Genomic DNA, 16,045 nt, shown 5'->3' on the forward strand with positions numbered 1-16,045 from the left:
CAGGCACACAGAATGATAGAACGTAATAGGGAATCCAGAAATCAGATTGCTTTATTGCACACCCATAACCATCTGATCTTTGACAAAGTCAACAACAAAAAAAGCAATGGGGAAAGAACTCCCTATTCAATAAATAGTGTTGGGATAACTGACTAGTTATATTCAGAAGGTTGAAACTGGACCCCTTCCTTACACCATACACAAAAATCAACACAAAATGGATTAAAAACTTATAGGTAAAACCTACAACTTAAAAAACCCTAGAAGAAAACCTAGGACATTCTATTCTGTACATAGCCCTTGGCAGAGTTTTCATGACAAAGCCTTCAAAAGCAATTTCAACAAACAAAAACTGATAAGTGGGGCCTAATTTAACTAAGGAGCTTTTGCAAATCAAAAGAAACTATTAACAGAGTAAACAGACAGCCCACAGAATGAGAGAAAATATTTGTATCTTATGCATGCAACAAATGTCTCATATCCAGAACCTATAAGGAAATTAAGCAAATGAACAAGAAAAAGAAACACCCTATTGAAAAATGGGCAAAGGACATGAACAGATACTTCTCTATAGAATACATACACTTGGCCAACAAGCATATGAAAAAATGTTCAATATCACTGTTCACTAGAGAAATGTAAATTAAAACCACAATGAGATATCATCTCATACTAGTCAGAATGGCTATTATTAAAAAGTTAAAAAATCACAGATGCTGGTGATGCTGTAGAGAAAATGGAACACTTATACACTGCCGGTATGAATATAAATTAGCTCAGCCACTGTGAAAAGCACTTTGGAGATTTCTTGAAGACCTTAAAACATATCTACCACTTGGCACAGCAATCCTATTACTGGGTATATACCCAAAGGAATATAAATTATTCTACCATTAAGACACATACACATCTATGTTCATCACAGCACTATTCACAATAGCAAAGACCTGGAATCAATCTATATGCCCACCAATAGTGGATTACATAAAGAAAATATGATACATATACACCATGGATTACTACACAACCATAATAAAGAATGAGATCATGTCCTTTTCAGCAACTTGGATGGAGCTGGAGGTTATCATCCTAAGCAAATTAATGCAGGAACAGAAAGCAAATACTACATGTTCTCACTTATAAGTGGAAGCTAAACATCAAATACATATGGACACAAAGAAGGAAACAACAGACACCTGGGCCTACCTGATGGTGGAGGGAGGGAGGAGGGTGAGGAATAAAAAATTACCTATCAGGTAGTATGCTTATTACCTGCGTGATGAAATAATCTGTACACCAAACCCCTGCATTCCACAATTTACCCATGTAACAAACTTGCACATGTACTTCGTGAACCTAAAATAAAAGTTGGAAAGAAAAGAAAAACTCACTGTGAATACTGTGCCATCTATTCTTCCCATCCTTGGCCAAGGAATTAACGTAATTGGGAAGATTTGAGATTATCAAAGGTAAACCATTAAAATGTTGTCAATGTGGTCATTTTATATGCACTGGCAGGGTATATTTGAGAACTGAGAGTCTATTATTTTGGTATAATAGGAATTTCAATATGTGCCTATTACAGGTATTTCTAGTTCAGAGTATTGCTTCATTCTTGGCCAATAAATCAATATTGTTATATGGATACACAAAAAATCAACTGGAGTTATAAAAACAATTGTTAATAATACTGCATATTTTATGCCACTTTGTACTATTTTAAAGTGATTTTACATATTTTCATATTTTCTTCATTTGAAGTCATTACACATTTTGGAAATGTTTTCTGAGTGCTATACATTCTTATTATAAACAGTGTTTAAAGGTAACTACAAAGTTCTAAGAGTGGGGAAATTAGGATATATCATTTCAAATAACATTCATTTGGTTTTTAAGTTAATGTTGCTGATAAGACTCTGCAATATAATAATTCAATGAATCCACAGTAATTTAACACCAGATAAAGAATTTATAATATTGTTCTTTCTGGGTTGTTACATCTGCTTTTAAAGGTAAGTGGAGCATTAACAACTGAGGCTACAGCATTGATTATAACATTGTTATTGTAAAAATCTCACTGCTGTTGTCTTAATTCTAAGATAAAATAAAGTTCAGCCTACCTTTCAATCAGGTGATTAACTTTCTGGAGCTGCAATTGAGGTTTCCAGTTTCAAAAAGGTAGGTGTGCCTGTAGGTATCCTGACCCCTAACTTTTATAGATGCTGTAGGCATCAGATACTTACTTGCATTGTCTTTCCAGTAGTACAATTTGTCCACACCTTCCCTGAGCATAAAAATGTTATTAAAAGTATGTAAAGCATAGTTGTCCGTTAAAAATAGAGATACATTAAATGAGGCTTGGAGATGGTCTAAGAAATCTCCATGGTTTCATGGCGATATCAAAGTTGTAAAAGCAGCAAATTTCTTCTAAGTTTCATTAAATGAAGAAATACTTTAGTCTGTTTGGAATCTTCTCTGTTATTTCATTGACAATCGTTTTAAATTTTTATTTCCATAGGTTTTTGGGGAACAGGTGGTATTTGGTTACATGAGTAAGTTCTTTAATGGTGATTTCTGAGATTTTGGTGCACCCATCACCCAAGCAGTATACACTGAACCCAGTTTGTAGTATTTTATCCCTCACCACTCTCTCACCCTTTCCCCCGAGTCCCCAAAGTCCATTGTATCATTCTTATGCCTTTGCATCTTCATAGGTTAGCTTCCAATTATGAGTGAGAACATACGATGTTTGGTTTTCCATTCCTGAGTTACTTCCGTTAGAATAATAGTCTCCAGTTCCATGCAGGTTGCTGCAAATGCCATTAATTTGTTACTATTTATGACTGAGTAGTGTTCCATCGTATATATGTATACCACATTGTCTTTATCCACTCGTTGATTGATGGGCATTTGGGCTGGTTCCATATTTTTGCAGTTGCGAATTGTGCTGCTATAAACATGCGTGTACAAGTATCTTTTTCGTATAATGACTTATTTTCCTCTGGATGGGTACCCAGTAGTGGAATTGCTGGGTCAAATGGTAGTTCTACTTTTAGTTCTTTAAGGAATCTTCGCACTGTTCTCCATAATGATTTTACTAGTTTACATTCCCATCAGCAGCATAGAAGTGTTTCCTTTTCACTGCGTCCATGCCAATATCTATTTATTATTTATTTTTTTATTGTGGCCACTCTTGCAGGAGTAAGGTGGTATCACATTGTGGTTTTGATTTGCATTTCCCTGATAATTAGTGACGTTGACCATTTTTTTCACATGTTTGTTGGCCATTTGTATATCTTCTTTTGAGAACTGTCTATGCATACCCTTAGCCCTCTTTTTGATGTGATTGATTTTTTTTTCTTGCTAATTTGTTTGAGTTCCTTGTAAATTCTGGATATTAGTCCTTTGCTGGACGTATAGATTGTGAAGATTTTCTCCCACTCTCTGAGTTGTCTGTTTATTCTGCTGACTGCTTCTTTTGCTATGCAGAAGCTCCTTAGTCTAATTAAGTCCCATATATTTATCTTTGTTTTTGTTGCATTTGCTTTTGAGTTCTTGACCATGAAGTCTTTGCCTGAGACAGTGTCTAAAATGGTTTTTCTGATTTTATCTTCTATAATTTTTATAGGCTTAGGTCTTAAATTTAAGTTCTTGATCGATCTTGAGTTGGTTTTTGTGTAAGTTGAGAGATGAGGATGCAATTTCATTCTCCTACATGTGGCTTGCCAATTATCCCAGCAACATTTGTTGAATAGGGTGTCCTTTCCCCACTTTATGTTTTTGTTTGCTCTGTCGAAGATCAGTTGGCTGTAAGTATTTGGGTTTATTTCTGGCTTCTCTATTTTGTTCCATTAGTCTATGTGTCTATTTTTCTACCAGTACTATGCTGTTTCGGTGAATATGGCCTTATAGTATAGTTTGAAGTCAGATAATGTGATGCCTCCAGCTTTGTTCTTTTTGCTTAGTCTTGGTTTGGCTATGTGAGCTCTTTTTTGTTTCTGTATGAATTTTAGGATTGTTTTCTCTAGTTCTTTTATTACTTCTATTCAACATAGTATTGGAAGTCCTAGTCAGAGCAATCAGACAAGAGAAAGAAATAAAGGGCATCCAAATCGGGAAAGAGAAAGTGCAACTGTCACTGTTTGCAGATGATATGATTATATGCATAGAAAACTTTAAAGACTCCTCCAAAAGGCCCCTAGAACTGATAAATAAATTCAGCAAAGTTTCAGGATACAAAATTAATGTAAGCAAATCAGTAGTTCTGCTATACACCAACAGTGACCAAGCTGAGAATCAGATCAATAACTCAACCCCTTTTACAATAGCTGCAAAAAAATAAATTAAAAAAAAACTACATAGGAATATACCTAACCAAGGAGGGGAAAGCCCTCTACAAGGAAAACTACAAAACAGTGCTGAAAGAAATCATAGACGACACAAACAAATGGAAACACATTCAATGCTCATGGGTGGGTAGAATCAACATTGTGAAAATGACCATACTGTCAAAAGCAATCTACAAATTCAATGCATTTCCCGTTGACAATCTTATCACCTCTTAAAAGCTGCTTCCCAAATTCCCTTCTATTATTTTGCTATTGCTCAAGTTATCAATACGTATTGCCTTTTTGCATGTTGATGTGCAAATTTAACAATTTTTGAAAACCTTCAACAAGACTAGTGAGATTCAGATTTGCCATCTAAATAGCTCCAGCATACAAAGTTCTAAACCATTTTTGACAGAAGGCCTAAATAATGATTTTTATGTCTTCAGGTCAGAAATTCTAGGGGAGCTTGGTATAACGTGTGACTCCCAGAAGAATGTGTTATTTGTGTCTGAAAAATTATTTTTGCCTTACCCTGTGTTTGCAGTCATCATTGGTTTAAGAACCAGATGGATTTTGAAAACCAGGAAACTCTGGGATGTAAGAGAAGAATAAGGAAAGGCAACATCTATAAGACCCTATAAGTTACCCAGACATCTGGTTGGATTCTTTATGCTTACTGTATCAGGGCAATGATGCCAGAAAGGAAGTGACACAGATATTTGCAAATTATATTATTTGTAATTTTTGACACATTGGTTGATAAGCTTCTAATATTTATAGAAAAATCTATTAAATCTTCATAAATATTTTTGTAAGATGTATTGGGTTTCTAAAAGTTTTCTATGGATATTATCAATCAGTGAATATTAAGTTAAAAAGAATCAGCTCCAGAAACAATCCTTGGGTATAATGGGAACATCAAACTTCTTGTTAGATGATCAGCTTTAATCAAAATATATTCTTTGCATGTGGCATTTACATTTTAGATCATAGGGAAATTGGAGTTCTGACAATTGGCTAACAATTTCTAATATGTTTTGTTTAGATAAATTTGACCATGTATTAAAGATCATCCTACAGAGATGTAACAGTGTCACTTTAATATTCTTATGCCTACTTCATAGTAAGGCAAATAAAATCTTCAGAATTGTTGCTGGCTGCCTAAACATGGGTTACTGTTTATTAATATTTTCTTTTTCTTGTTTGTTACCTTTCTAGAAACTTGAGATTTTCATGTGATGCTCTCTTTCTCTTTTTTTGTATGCCCTTAAGTATTTTGTGTAAAGCAATTAAAACAGTAATTTCAGTAACTAGTTTATGTCATGTACCAAATTCAAAAATGACAGCTAAGAATGAAATTTAGCTCTAGCAAGGAGGCTTTAATTAAAGGATCCTTGCATCTATTTCAGTGACTTCCTGTTAGTAATTCAACCATCTCCTGGTTCACTATTTCTGCAGTGCTCTGAAAATGAAGCTTGTCTACTTATTTTTTTTTTGTGTGTTTCGTAAGAATTGAAGAAGCACTCATAAGAAAGGGAAAGGGAAAGAGGGAAAGCAAATGGACCTAGGATATCATGCCAAGTGTGTGGGGTGTTATTCAAATAAATAAATATATATATATATATATATATATATAGAGAGAGAGAGAGAGAGAGAGAGAGAGAGAAGGTTTATAAAACAAAAATTGCAGAAAGTACATTTTTACTATTTGTTTAAAGAAGAACCCATAAAAGAAGTTTTCTGAGATAAAGTTGAAAAATGCACATAGAGGCAGGTGGTGCCATTAGCCCTGCTGTTGGGACTGACAGATCAGTACTGAAGTGGCATCAGGGTAGGAAGGTATCAGCTTCAGTAATGGAGAGATGTCCAAAGGAAAGATTGCTCTATCACAGTGATGGGATCCTAGCATGTTATAAATCGAAGATTGTTCTTTCCTGCCACTGAGATGAGCAGCTCTTTCTCCTTTCGAGAATGAAATGTTGGACACAGACAAGGAAAAGATGAAAACAAAAAAGTAGGAAAAAGTTTTTTCTCTTTAATGTAAATCTCCCGGGAGAACAGACAGTGTAGTGCCAATCTCCATTTTAAACAGGAGGCGAAGAAAATGCTCACTTTTGGCAATTTCTTCTCATCTTAGCATACAGAATAGGTAAATTATGGTAATAGTTCTATATGTCTCTTGATATAACTTGGTTCTTATTGTTTTTTAAATTGGAACTATTAATAGATTTACACTTTTGGTTTGGAATGAAAGATATATTGAGCTGGGATGAGATTCGGTTAGAAGAAGGTGCAGTGTGTAGTAAAACCTGTACAACCCAGCTTTTGATTTCTGGCCAACTTGCTCTTACATATAACTAACTAGGCGATATTAGGCAAGATACTTTCCCTCTTTGAGTGTAGGTCTCCTGATCAGTGAACTGGGAGATGACATGTAAATAGAACCTAGCACACGACCGTGTTTGTAGTAAGTAGTTGAAAAATGTTATTCTCTTTTCCTTCCCAGCAGTCTAAGTTAACCTACGTGGCCAATATTTGTCTTTTTCTGGAAATAAGTAAATGGGAACAAAATAACTTTTTGATGATTATTTTAAAAATATTTTATTGCATTAAGATGATATTAGTGAAGTTCTATATAAATCATGAAGTTTGCAAAACTGATTGCATTTTAATAAACAAAATTAAAGGAAACACACATAATTAACACAAAAAATTTCCAACAAAATATATAAATTATAACATGGGCAGGGTTACAACTTTGTTATCATTTTAGCCACAGGTTGATTGAAGAACCTGCCCAAACCCCCACATGAAGATTATTGACAAAGGTGGAAATGAGCACCACATTTTTCTTTCTTTCCATCTAGCACTCCAGCTTTAGGCTCATAAAATGTGTCACTGGGCAAACTAAGCATAGGGATTTTTATTTTTTTAAAAAAAGAATATAACAAAAAACAAAACTAGTGGGAAAAAAGCACATCATGTGAAGTGAGGTACCTCTTTTAGGGAAACATATAGAACATCAGTGAAGATACTAATTGATCTATATATTAATTAATCAACATACTAATCAGAAATAAAATACCAAATTATAACTTCTTGAAGAGCAGCATGGTATTTCTCTACATACTCTATTTTGACCAAAATAGCAAAGCATGACTTTCTTCTGAAGAGAGACATGCCACTGATGTCCAAGATGAGAATTATAATAAAAGAAAAATATTCTCACAAAATAATGCATTGAATTAAGGAAGCAGTTCTCAAACTACAGTCTTGGGTACTCCCAGAGGCCTCTAAGATGCTTTCAATGGTTCCATAGGTCCCTCCTTTTTCAAGTACACATGCGCGTGAGACTAAATTTTCTCCCTGTACTTTAACCAAAACAACATACTGCATCTGACTGAACGTAGAAGAGAATTCAGTTGTCTTTTGAATTTACAAAAAATGTAAAACAGTGCCATTCTTGTCACTGAATATTGTTTTTGCTTGTTTGTTTTTAAAAATAGTTACCTTGTCTTAAAATGTATTATTTATGTTAATAGATAATGGTTTTATTATTGTATTTTTAATGAATTGATAAATAAGATGGAAAACAGTCCTAAGACCAAAACCTTTGAGAACTGCCTATTTAAGGTATGAGAATTTTTGTGTTTAGAGATTAGATCTCCACCTCATTTTGTGTGTGTGTATATTCTTCTTATAAAAGTAAAATATAAGTTAGAAAACATTTGGGAATTTGTGTAAAGTCAAATATTAATCCCCTATATTCACATAATCCAAAGGTATTGCATTACCTTTCTTCATTTCCTCTATGCACACATCTACATATTTATTTAAACAAAATTAGGATCATAAGCTTTACACATTTCTGCATCTTTTTTTCACTTAACATTGTATGATGAATACTTTTGTGATTTTTCAATAATCTTCAGAAATATGCTATTTAATGACTGTGTAATGATCCTTTATATAAAATCCTTAAGCACTGTGTTGGTGGGCGTATTGATTGTATTTTTAGGTGTTGTTAGTATCATCTTAATCATCATCACTTTTGTCATCGTATTTAACATTTATTAGGCTCTTATTATGCTCTAGGCAATGTGCTAAACTCTTTATGTGCCTTATTGCATGTAACCTACTTTTGGGGTGTCTTGATATTTCCTCTAAGAAATGGTCTTCCTCTTTCTTCCACTTACATCCCTTCAATTATTTCTGTCATTGGATCTAGCTGACAGATCATATGGAAAAGGGAGTGAGATATATTGAACCAATTTCTTTTTTTTTTTGGAGACAGGTGTGATCTTGGTTCACTGCAGCCTCCAGCTCCTGGGCTCAAGCCATCCTCCTGCCTCAGCCTCCTGAGTAGTTAGGGCCACAGGCCCATGCCACCATGCTCGTTTAATTTTTTGTGCTTTTGTAGAGATGGGGTTTTACTATATTTCCCAGGCTGGTCTCCAACTCCTGGGGTCAAGAGATCCTCCCACCTAGGCTTGCTAAAGTGCTAGGATTACAGGCGTGAGCCACCACACCTGGCCTACAACTCTTGCTCTTAATATATAAGAAGCAAAGGAAAAAAAATGCCTGATTATTGCAGTCTAATTAATTCTAATGACAATAACTATATAAAAATATTGTCATTATGGTTTTATTTTTTCTGCTTTTGTTTGATATGGTCAGCTAAGATGCTTTCTCTTTCTTTTCTATTCAGGATTCTTGGGATGGTGGAATTTGCTCTAGTTAGTTTGGTTAGAATCACCACAGATATGGATACAGATCGGATAGGGTCTAGATAGCCTTAAACTCAGACAAATTCTGCCTCACAGATATGCAATATACTAATTCCAGTCTGCTCCTTTAAGAACACATGTCATTGGTTATTAGGACAATCAGGCAAGAGAATGTGGATAGCTCACTATAAACCATCCATAGGGATGGTTGAGTACTAATGACATTTTGGCATATTGGAAAAAAAATATTTTTCAGAATAAAGAATCGAGTATTGATTTCCTCACCATCATACAATTCTTTTTAAATTTTTTAAATCAGAAAGTTGTTCATTTTTTAAGCTTGGCTTTGCAGGTTAGGTTTTTTGAAAGTATTCAGGCACATTCTAAACTTCCCAGATGTGAGGAAATTGAAAGCACACAATGTTTACTGACATGTAAAACTCTGGGACACAGTTTTCATTAGTTAAATTTAAAATCTTTTCTTTTCTTTTTTACCCTTTGTAAATGTGACCAGTGAGGCAGATTAAATTAGCTAGGGAAGTCAGAGGCTAAGGGTCATTTTGCCTCTCATCTGCACGTGCAATATCAACTGAAATAAGTGATTATTTTTCATTACAATCAAGATTATTATCTATTGTATTTTCATACCATTTCCTATAGTGAAATTATGCGTTATGCTTTTTAAATCTGGTATCTTAATAGAAACTCACGTTAGAAATATAGAAGCTAGCCGTGAGACTGTGTTCTTAAAACTAATGATCTAGATTCATGAAAGGATAGGAATACTTAGTTTAATACATTTTCCAGTATATATATTTATTTGCCATCTTTAACTTCAAAGTTGTGTTCTTTGAACAACTTGTTCTTTAGGAATGAAATAATCTTTCAGAAGGTACCCATGTTAGTGGTGACAAGACCCATTAAATATTTAAATAGTGTTATTAGGTACATCATAAAAATACATGTAGAAATTGTCTATTTTAAAATATTTAGCCATATGTCAAATATAAAATGTTACTAATGTGCTGAGTTGAGGAGACTTTGGTTAACTTTTGAGTAGGTTTATTGTCATGTAACCTTTTGGGATTCTTTCCTTTTCTTTAAGGAGACAAATGGATGATTGTAACATGAACATTTAAAAATGAAATGCTTAATGGAAACATGAATAAATGGAAACAGATTTGCCTGTCAAAAATTAAATAGCAATATTCTTTGATTAATATCAAAATCTAATCTAAAATAGTTTTAGCCATTTCATGCAGGTGACATCTGTGCTTAAATATAATTTTCTCTCCCTGTTCTGGCATGACTGTTAATTACTTACTCAATGTAGTTCAACATTTAGTTAATAAATATGTCAAGCTTTTTCCTTAGTGTTCTTTTTGCAGAGTTGTGAATTTGCAATTAGTTTTAGATTTACAACATGGTGACAGACAGTGCTGTATAAATAGAGGTTAAACACACAATTTACATATTAATTCCATGATTCGTTTATTCAATGATTTATGGGGATATAGATTGCATTTAATGTCTGTCCTGTAGTTGTTTCAGGCATGACAAAAGGAATCACTATAGTAGCAGAGAAGTAATGGTGTCTATATTGAACTACAGGGTGTTGAGGGGAAAATAAGAAAGATTTGGAAACACAATGATTCATTACCTTTAATACTCTCCAAGTGGCAAGTGAAAAGTAATAATTGATTTTTAAAAGGATTACATCTGATAATTCTAAGAGTAGGGGAGGAGATAAATTAACCCGCTAGCATAGTGTCTTGCACATAGTAGGAACTAAAATGTTTGTTCAATTGAAGTGACTTGAAGTTGAGGATCATAATATGTTTTTAAGACTGGATAAAACTTAAGTTAAACTTTGAGAAGCTTTAAACAAATCTTTTTTAGCTGACTTCTATTAATTGGCCTTGTTTCCTCATGACAGGTGCCGTCATATTTTAAAAATCCTCTTATCCATTATCTATGTAGATTTATTAGATATTCTTGGCCATATTGATGCAATGCCAAACATAGACTGCAATAAGGAGATTTTCTTACTGCTTATTTTTTTTTAGAAATATCAGTATCTCTGAATGATTAAAATAGGCTATGTTATGTAATGAAACGAAAACCTCTCAAGTTTGTAGTGGACATAGGTCTGCTTTCAAGATATTTCAAAAAAATCTATTCAAGATAGGTAAATGCTGTCTATACTCTTTTTTTGCAATATCAAACATATGATTAATTAACTTATGGATTTAATCCATAAGTTTAAACCGGATAAAACTTACTAGATACAGTAATATTCCTGAAGCAACTTGTGGTCCTCAAACTGACTTCATGTTGCCCCTTTAAATGTCAACAGCAGTTATTGTGGAGAATACTTAACTTAGTGCTGGGAGATTGACCTTATTTTCTTCTTGAGAAGATCATGCCCTACAATTCTGATACTCTCAAGAACCTCCTCTATGTAAAGATACAAATGTAAAACCCACTAATTCTCAGCAAGGACTGTGGATTACTTTCACAGGTCACTGAGCTGGGTTCTCCGAATAGGTAAAGTACTTTGGGGACATCTTTGTATTACCTATGTACTTTTTCAAGCCACTAGAGTTAGCAATTACTGCAAGAAGCAGAATTTTTTAACTTAAATTCTAGTGGCTGGAAATCATACCAAAAACCCAGGAACTGTAAGTTTAATTTAATAAATCTGTTCAATATGCGTTTGTTTAATCCCTACTTAATTCCAAGTCCTTTTACATACTTGCCAAGTCCTTTTACAAAATCCAAAGATCTCATTTAATCCTTATATACCCCTCAATAGGGCATGATTAAATCCATTTTTGCAGATGCAAAATCTGAGCCTCTGGGAGGATACATGGCTTGCTCTGGAGACAATTTTGTAAGGATTGGAACTCAGATGGGTCTGGCTCCAAGGAGTTACCTTTTCTTTCACATCATGGTGTCTCCTATTAAGGGATGGAGTTAATGTGTTTGCAGAGGCACCTAAAGTATCCCAAAAAGTAAAATTGGAAGGTCTAATCCAGGATGTTCCATCTTAAGCCTTGGCAACATTTGTTCAACTCTTACTTAACGTTGCCCAGTCTAAATGATGCTTCCAGTAATTTTAGCAATTTTAATTAAGTAGACAGAGTTGATTACTTCAATTGCCTGCATTGCCTTTTGTCAGTGATTCAAATCCAGCTATTTCACATGTTCAGAGCTCCCAAGTGCTTCAGAAAAGTTCTAGGAGCTAAAGAGTTAAATGACTGGTGAATAAATCTTCACAATTTTCACACTTCTTTACTCAGTGGTGTCTCAGCATTTTTCTTGAATGGAGCAGTTTCTTATAATTTTACTAGAAAGATTAAAACACGTTTGCAGTGAAGGTAGTATGCAAATACATGACATGCGTTGGATCCCTGAGGTAATCTAATGATATAATGCAGGGAGATTTAGTGAAAAATAAAGTCATAGCACCAAAACAATTGGTAGTAAAGCAAACAGAAAATTTCAAAGCCAGTTCTTTGGTTCTTCTTCACCTGATGGCTCTTATCCTTTTTCTCTTTATCTTTTCCTTCTTGACTCCATTTTCTACTGCCTTGTGGCTTTCCAAAGAGTGAGGCAGGGATAAAGGCTTGATTTTATGTGGAGACATCTTCTAACCATTTAAAATTCACAGCAAAAAATGTAATGGACTTAAAACTGCCAAAAATGATTGACTGGGAGTGGAAAATGAAGAGGAATTTCTAGGAAGAAAAATGCTTAGTGGAGTACATTTCATTCTGGGGCCCATACTTGAAATTATAACCATCCCCACTTGCTGAGCACCTAATAGGAACTTTCCAAGTTGAGCAAATAGAGGTCAATAAAATAAGCTCCTTCCCATTAATAAAAGTTAGCTTATTATAGCCTTCTGCACTGTAAGCTGTCTTTTCAGCCAATGATTAATACCACCTAGAGCTTGCATATGGAGGGAAATTGAAGTAGGGTGAGTGAAGTGATTATTTTCAACAGTAGATTACCTAGAAAAAGACAATTTAATGAATGAACAGGTAGGTTCATTTCTGGCCAAATTTCAAATGTGGTGTCAAAAATAAACACTTGAGGCCAGGCACAGTGGCTCATACCAGTAATCCCAGCACTTTGGGATGCTGAGGTGAGAGGATTGCTTGAGGCCAGGAGTTCAAAACAGGCCTGTTCAACATGGCAAGATCCCATCTCTATAAAAGAAAAAAAAAAACACACACTAGCTGGGCCCGGTGGCATGCCTCTGTAGTTCCAGCTCCTCGGGAGGCTGAGGCAGAGTATTGCTTGATCCCAGGAATCTGAGGCTTCCATGAGCCATGATCCTGCCACTGCACTCCAGCCTGGGCAATAGAGGGAGACCCTGTCTCAAAACAAAACAAAACAAACAAACAAAAAAATAAACACTTGAAAGCTAAGGACAGGAGAGGGTGCTGAAACTTACATATTCTTCTCCCATATAGATCCACAAAACTGAATCAATTGCATTTCCATTTATTTAAATAATTTGCATATATCAGCAGTGTATTCTTATCTTGGTTTGTAGATGAGTTTCTCTTTTCTTGCTGGACATAGAGTTAAATCTCACTTTTAAATCCCTTGAAATTGAAATGTGATGAGCAGATGACTATAGGGAGCAGGTGTCAAACAATATTTAAATGACATTTTCAACAAAATAAATATTTGAACCACCCTGTCACATTGGTGATAGAATAATCTGCTCCAAAAAAAAAAATGCCATTCATTGTATACCGCCTCTGACATTTGTTCTTCAGGAATTACTTACAGTTTATCTTCTGAGCTGGAGCCTTTTATCAGCAAAGCAGTTGAACTACAGTGGAAAAAATGGTAATTGAGTATTTTATCAAATGCTTCTAACAAAATGGACTTTGCAACATGTACATGAAAATTAAAACCATTGGTTGCAGGGATGAACAAATTGGAATGATTTATTATCAGAAATATCAATATGTCACTGTTCAGAAATAGAAAGAAACAAACAATCTCAGTCTCCCTCCACATTAAAACAACCCCCATCCCATTCCCAGACATATGCACCCAAAGCACTCTTAGTTGCAGCCAAAGCAGTGGAAGGTAAGTACATTTTAATTCTTTGTGCTAGCAAAACCGCTAAAGAAAAAGGAGAAAAAAGCATCATAATAATAGACCAGCTGCTGCAGGACATTATGTAAGGAAAAGAGACAGTAATAAAAGAACCATGTCAAAAGAAAGCAGCTATGAATGTATACTTCAGTGCTGGTGATTGCAGAAGGAGGATTAAATATAATATATGGGGCAATTTAGGAAAGTGAATTTACTGCTTATGTTTATCACCTAAGTAGCCAATGCCTTTAAAATGGGCTTTATTTAACTTATGTAACATAGCTTTAAAAAACGGCATTAGAAGAATAGCATTGCAGGAGTATTTTATACTAATTATTTAAATTTTGCATTTATTTAGATTTATTTAGATTAAATGCACCATATGTGTGAGTTCAGGTTGGAGACATCAAGTAGATTAACAACAAGTAGATTAACAACATGGGTGGGAGTGGATGTGTTTTTTCTTGAATTTAATTGAATTTTAATGCAATTATTGTTTTTTCTTGAATTTAATTGAATAAATTGAATATTAAGGTTTTTCTTTTTAAAGAAAAAGGTCAGAAATAAAATGTGTAAAAGAGAAACCCTTTTTGTGACAGTTCAAGCTGCTTTTAAAAATGGTGTCTTGACTTTGGGGATGTCACTGAATAAGAATGTTTAGCTTCCTTCCAGGCTGCCAGCAGGATGCCATTGTCTGTGCTGTTCTTCTCTGTGTGAATCTAAGAGTTTACTTCTCTCACCCATGATCACCCATGACTATTCACTAAGTACAAATCAAATGGGCTTACATCAGGTAGAAACCCAGACTGGGACCTTTTTTAAGGCATGCAGAAAACAATTAGGTATACCTCTTTAAGACTGGATAAAGAGAACTTTATTTTCTTCCCTCATTTCCCTAAAACTTCCATCTCCTTTAGATCTTTTGGATATAAAATTCAAGAGGCAATTGATTGTTAGTTACATGCCAAGCTTAGTATAATTTTATAAAGCAGTCATAGGTAGTTGAATAATATTTTTAAAAACCTAAGGAATCTTCTTCTACATTGCTTTTTAGCTACATGAAAAGAAAATGATTTTCTGTATATAATTTATGTATAGTGTATGCTTAAAATATTTCTCTGAATTAGTTATTGCAAGCAACTTGCAAAACTGGATTCATCTAGAGGGTTGAGCAAAACTAGCAAATTTGTAGGAAAAAAAGGTAAAATCAAATTACTAACTTGCACTTGGGAGAGAACATTCTGAATTAATGAAAAGTTTGACAGGATATTTTTTAAAGTTATAATTTTTCATGTACATTTAGTAGCTTGAATTGCTCTTTTCTGGCGGCTGTCAGAGACTATTTTAATGAACACATATTTGCATACACTTATTGTGCGAAAGTTTTTAAGTAGCCTTTTCTCTCAGCTAAGCCAGCTCAATTACCAGTTTATTTACATGTTTAATAATTTTTGCAAACTCATTTTTATTAGATAGTATAAAGATATTCAAAATTTGTATCTGTGAAACTGTAGGGTTGTATCCTTTATACTAAAAGCCTGATATCTTTACTAGTTCTGCCCAATCCAGGTTAAATGGGTAGTTCAATCTCATGACCTTTTAAAAACCTAAAGATGTTACGAAACTGTTGTCTTACAATTGAACCAACACTGTTACTTACTACATGTGTCTGTTTGTGTGAAAAGGCAAAATCTTTCCCAATACTTCTATTTTTGTATTATAAATAGTATTATTGAAAGAGAGGCCTGGTCGTGTTATGAAAGAACTGATGGGCTTAGGCTCCTTTTTCACAGCTCATGGCACTATGCTATATAGACTTGCCCCTCACTGTGAAGGCCAATCAATTGATTTCTTTTAGATTCAAGA

General features: G+C 34.2%; 1 protein-coding gene across 8 annotated transcripts in view, besides 1 other annotated feature; it reads left to right on the forward strand.

Moving 5' to 3' along the window:
• Positions 1-16,045, forward strand: part of DACH2 (dachshund family transcription factor 2) — a 684,152-nt gene that overhangs the window by 100,391 nt on the left and 567,716 nt on the right. Inside the window, exon 1 of one of the 8 annotated variants that reach the window (NM_001139515.1) lies at positions 14,127-14,170. The exons of the other annotated variants lie outside the window; for them this stretch is intronic. The gene's annotated coding sequence lies outside the window, so the exon portion shown is untranslated. Of the gene's footprint in view, positions 1-14,126; positions 14,171-16,045 lie in introns of those variants that run through there. 8 annotated transcript variants of the gene reach the window in all.
• Positions 14,473-15,250: an enhancer, noted in NCBI's record as "OCT4-NANOG hESC enhancer chrX:85518317-85519094 (GRCh37/hg19 assembly coordinates)". NCBI's record gives its function as "activates a minimal SCP1, AML or CMV promoter by ChIP-STARR-seq in naive and primed H9 embryonic stem cells {active_cell/tissue: H9 hESC(naive and primed)}" and the evidence as "EXISTENCE:reporter gene assay evidence [ECO:0000049][PMID:30033119]".

This window comes from Homo sapiens, chromosome X (assembly GCF_000001405.40).
Source record: "Homo sapiens chromosome X, GRCh38.p14 Primary Assembly".
Lineage (NCBI taxonomy): Eukaryota > Metazoa > Chordata > Mammalia > Primates > Hominidae > Homo > Homo sapiens.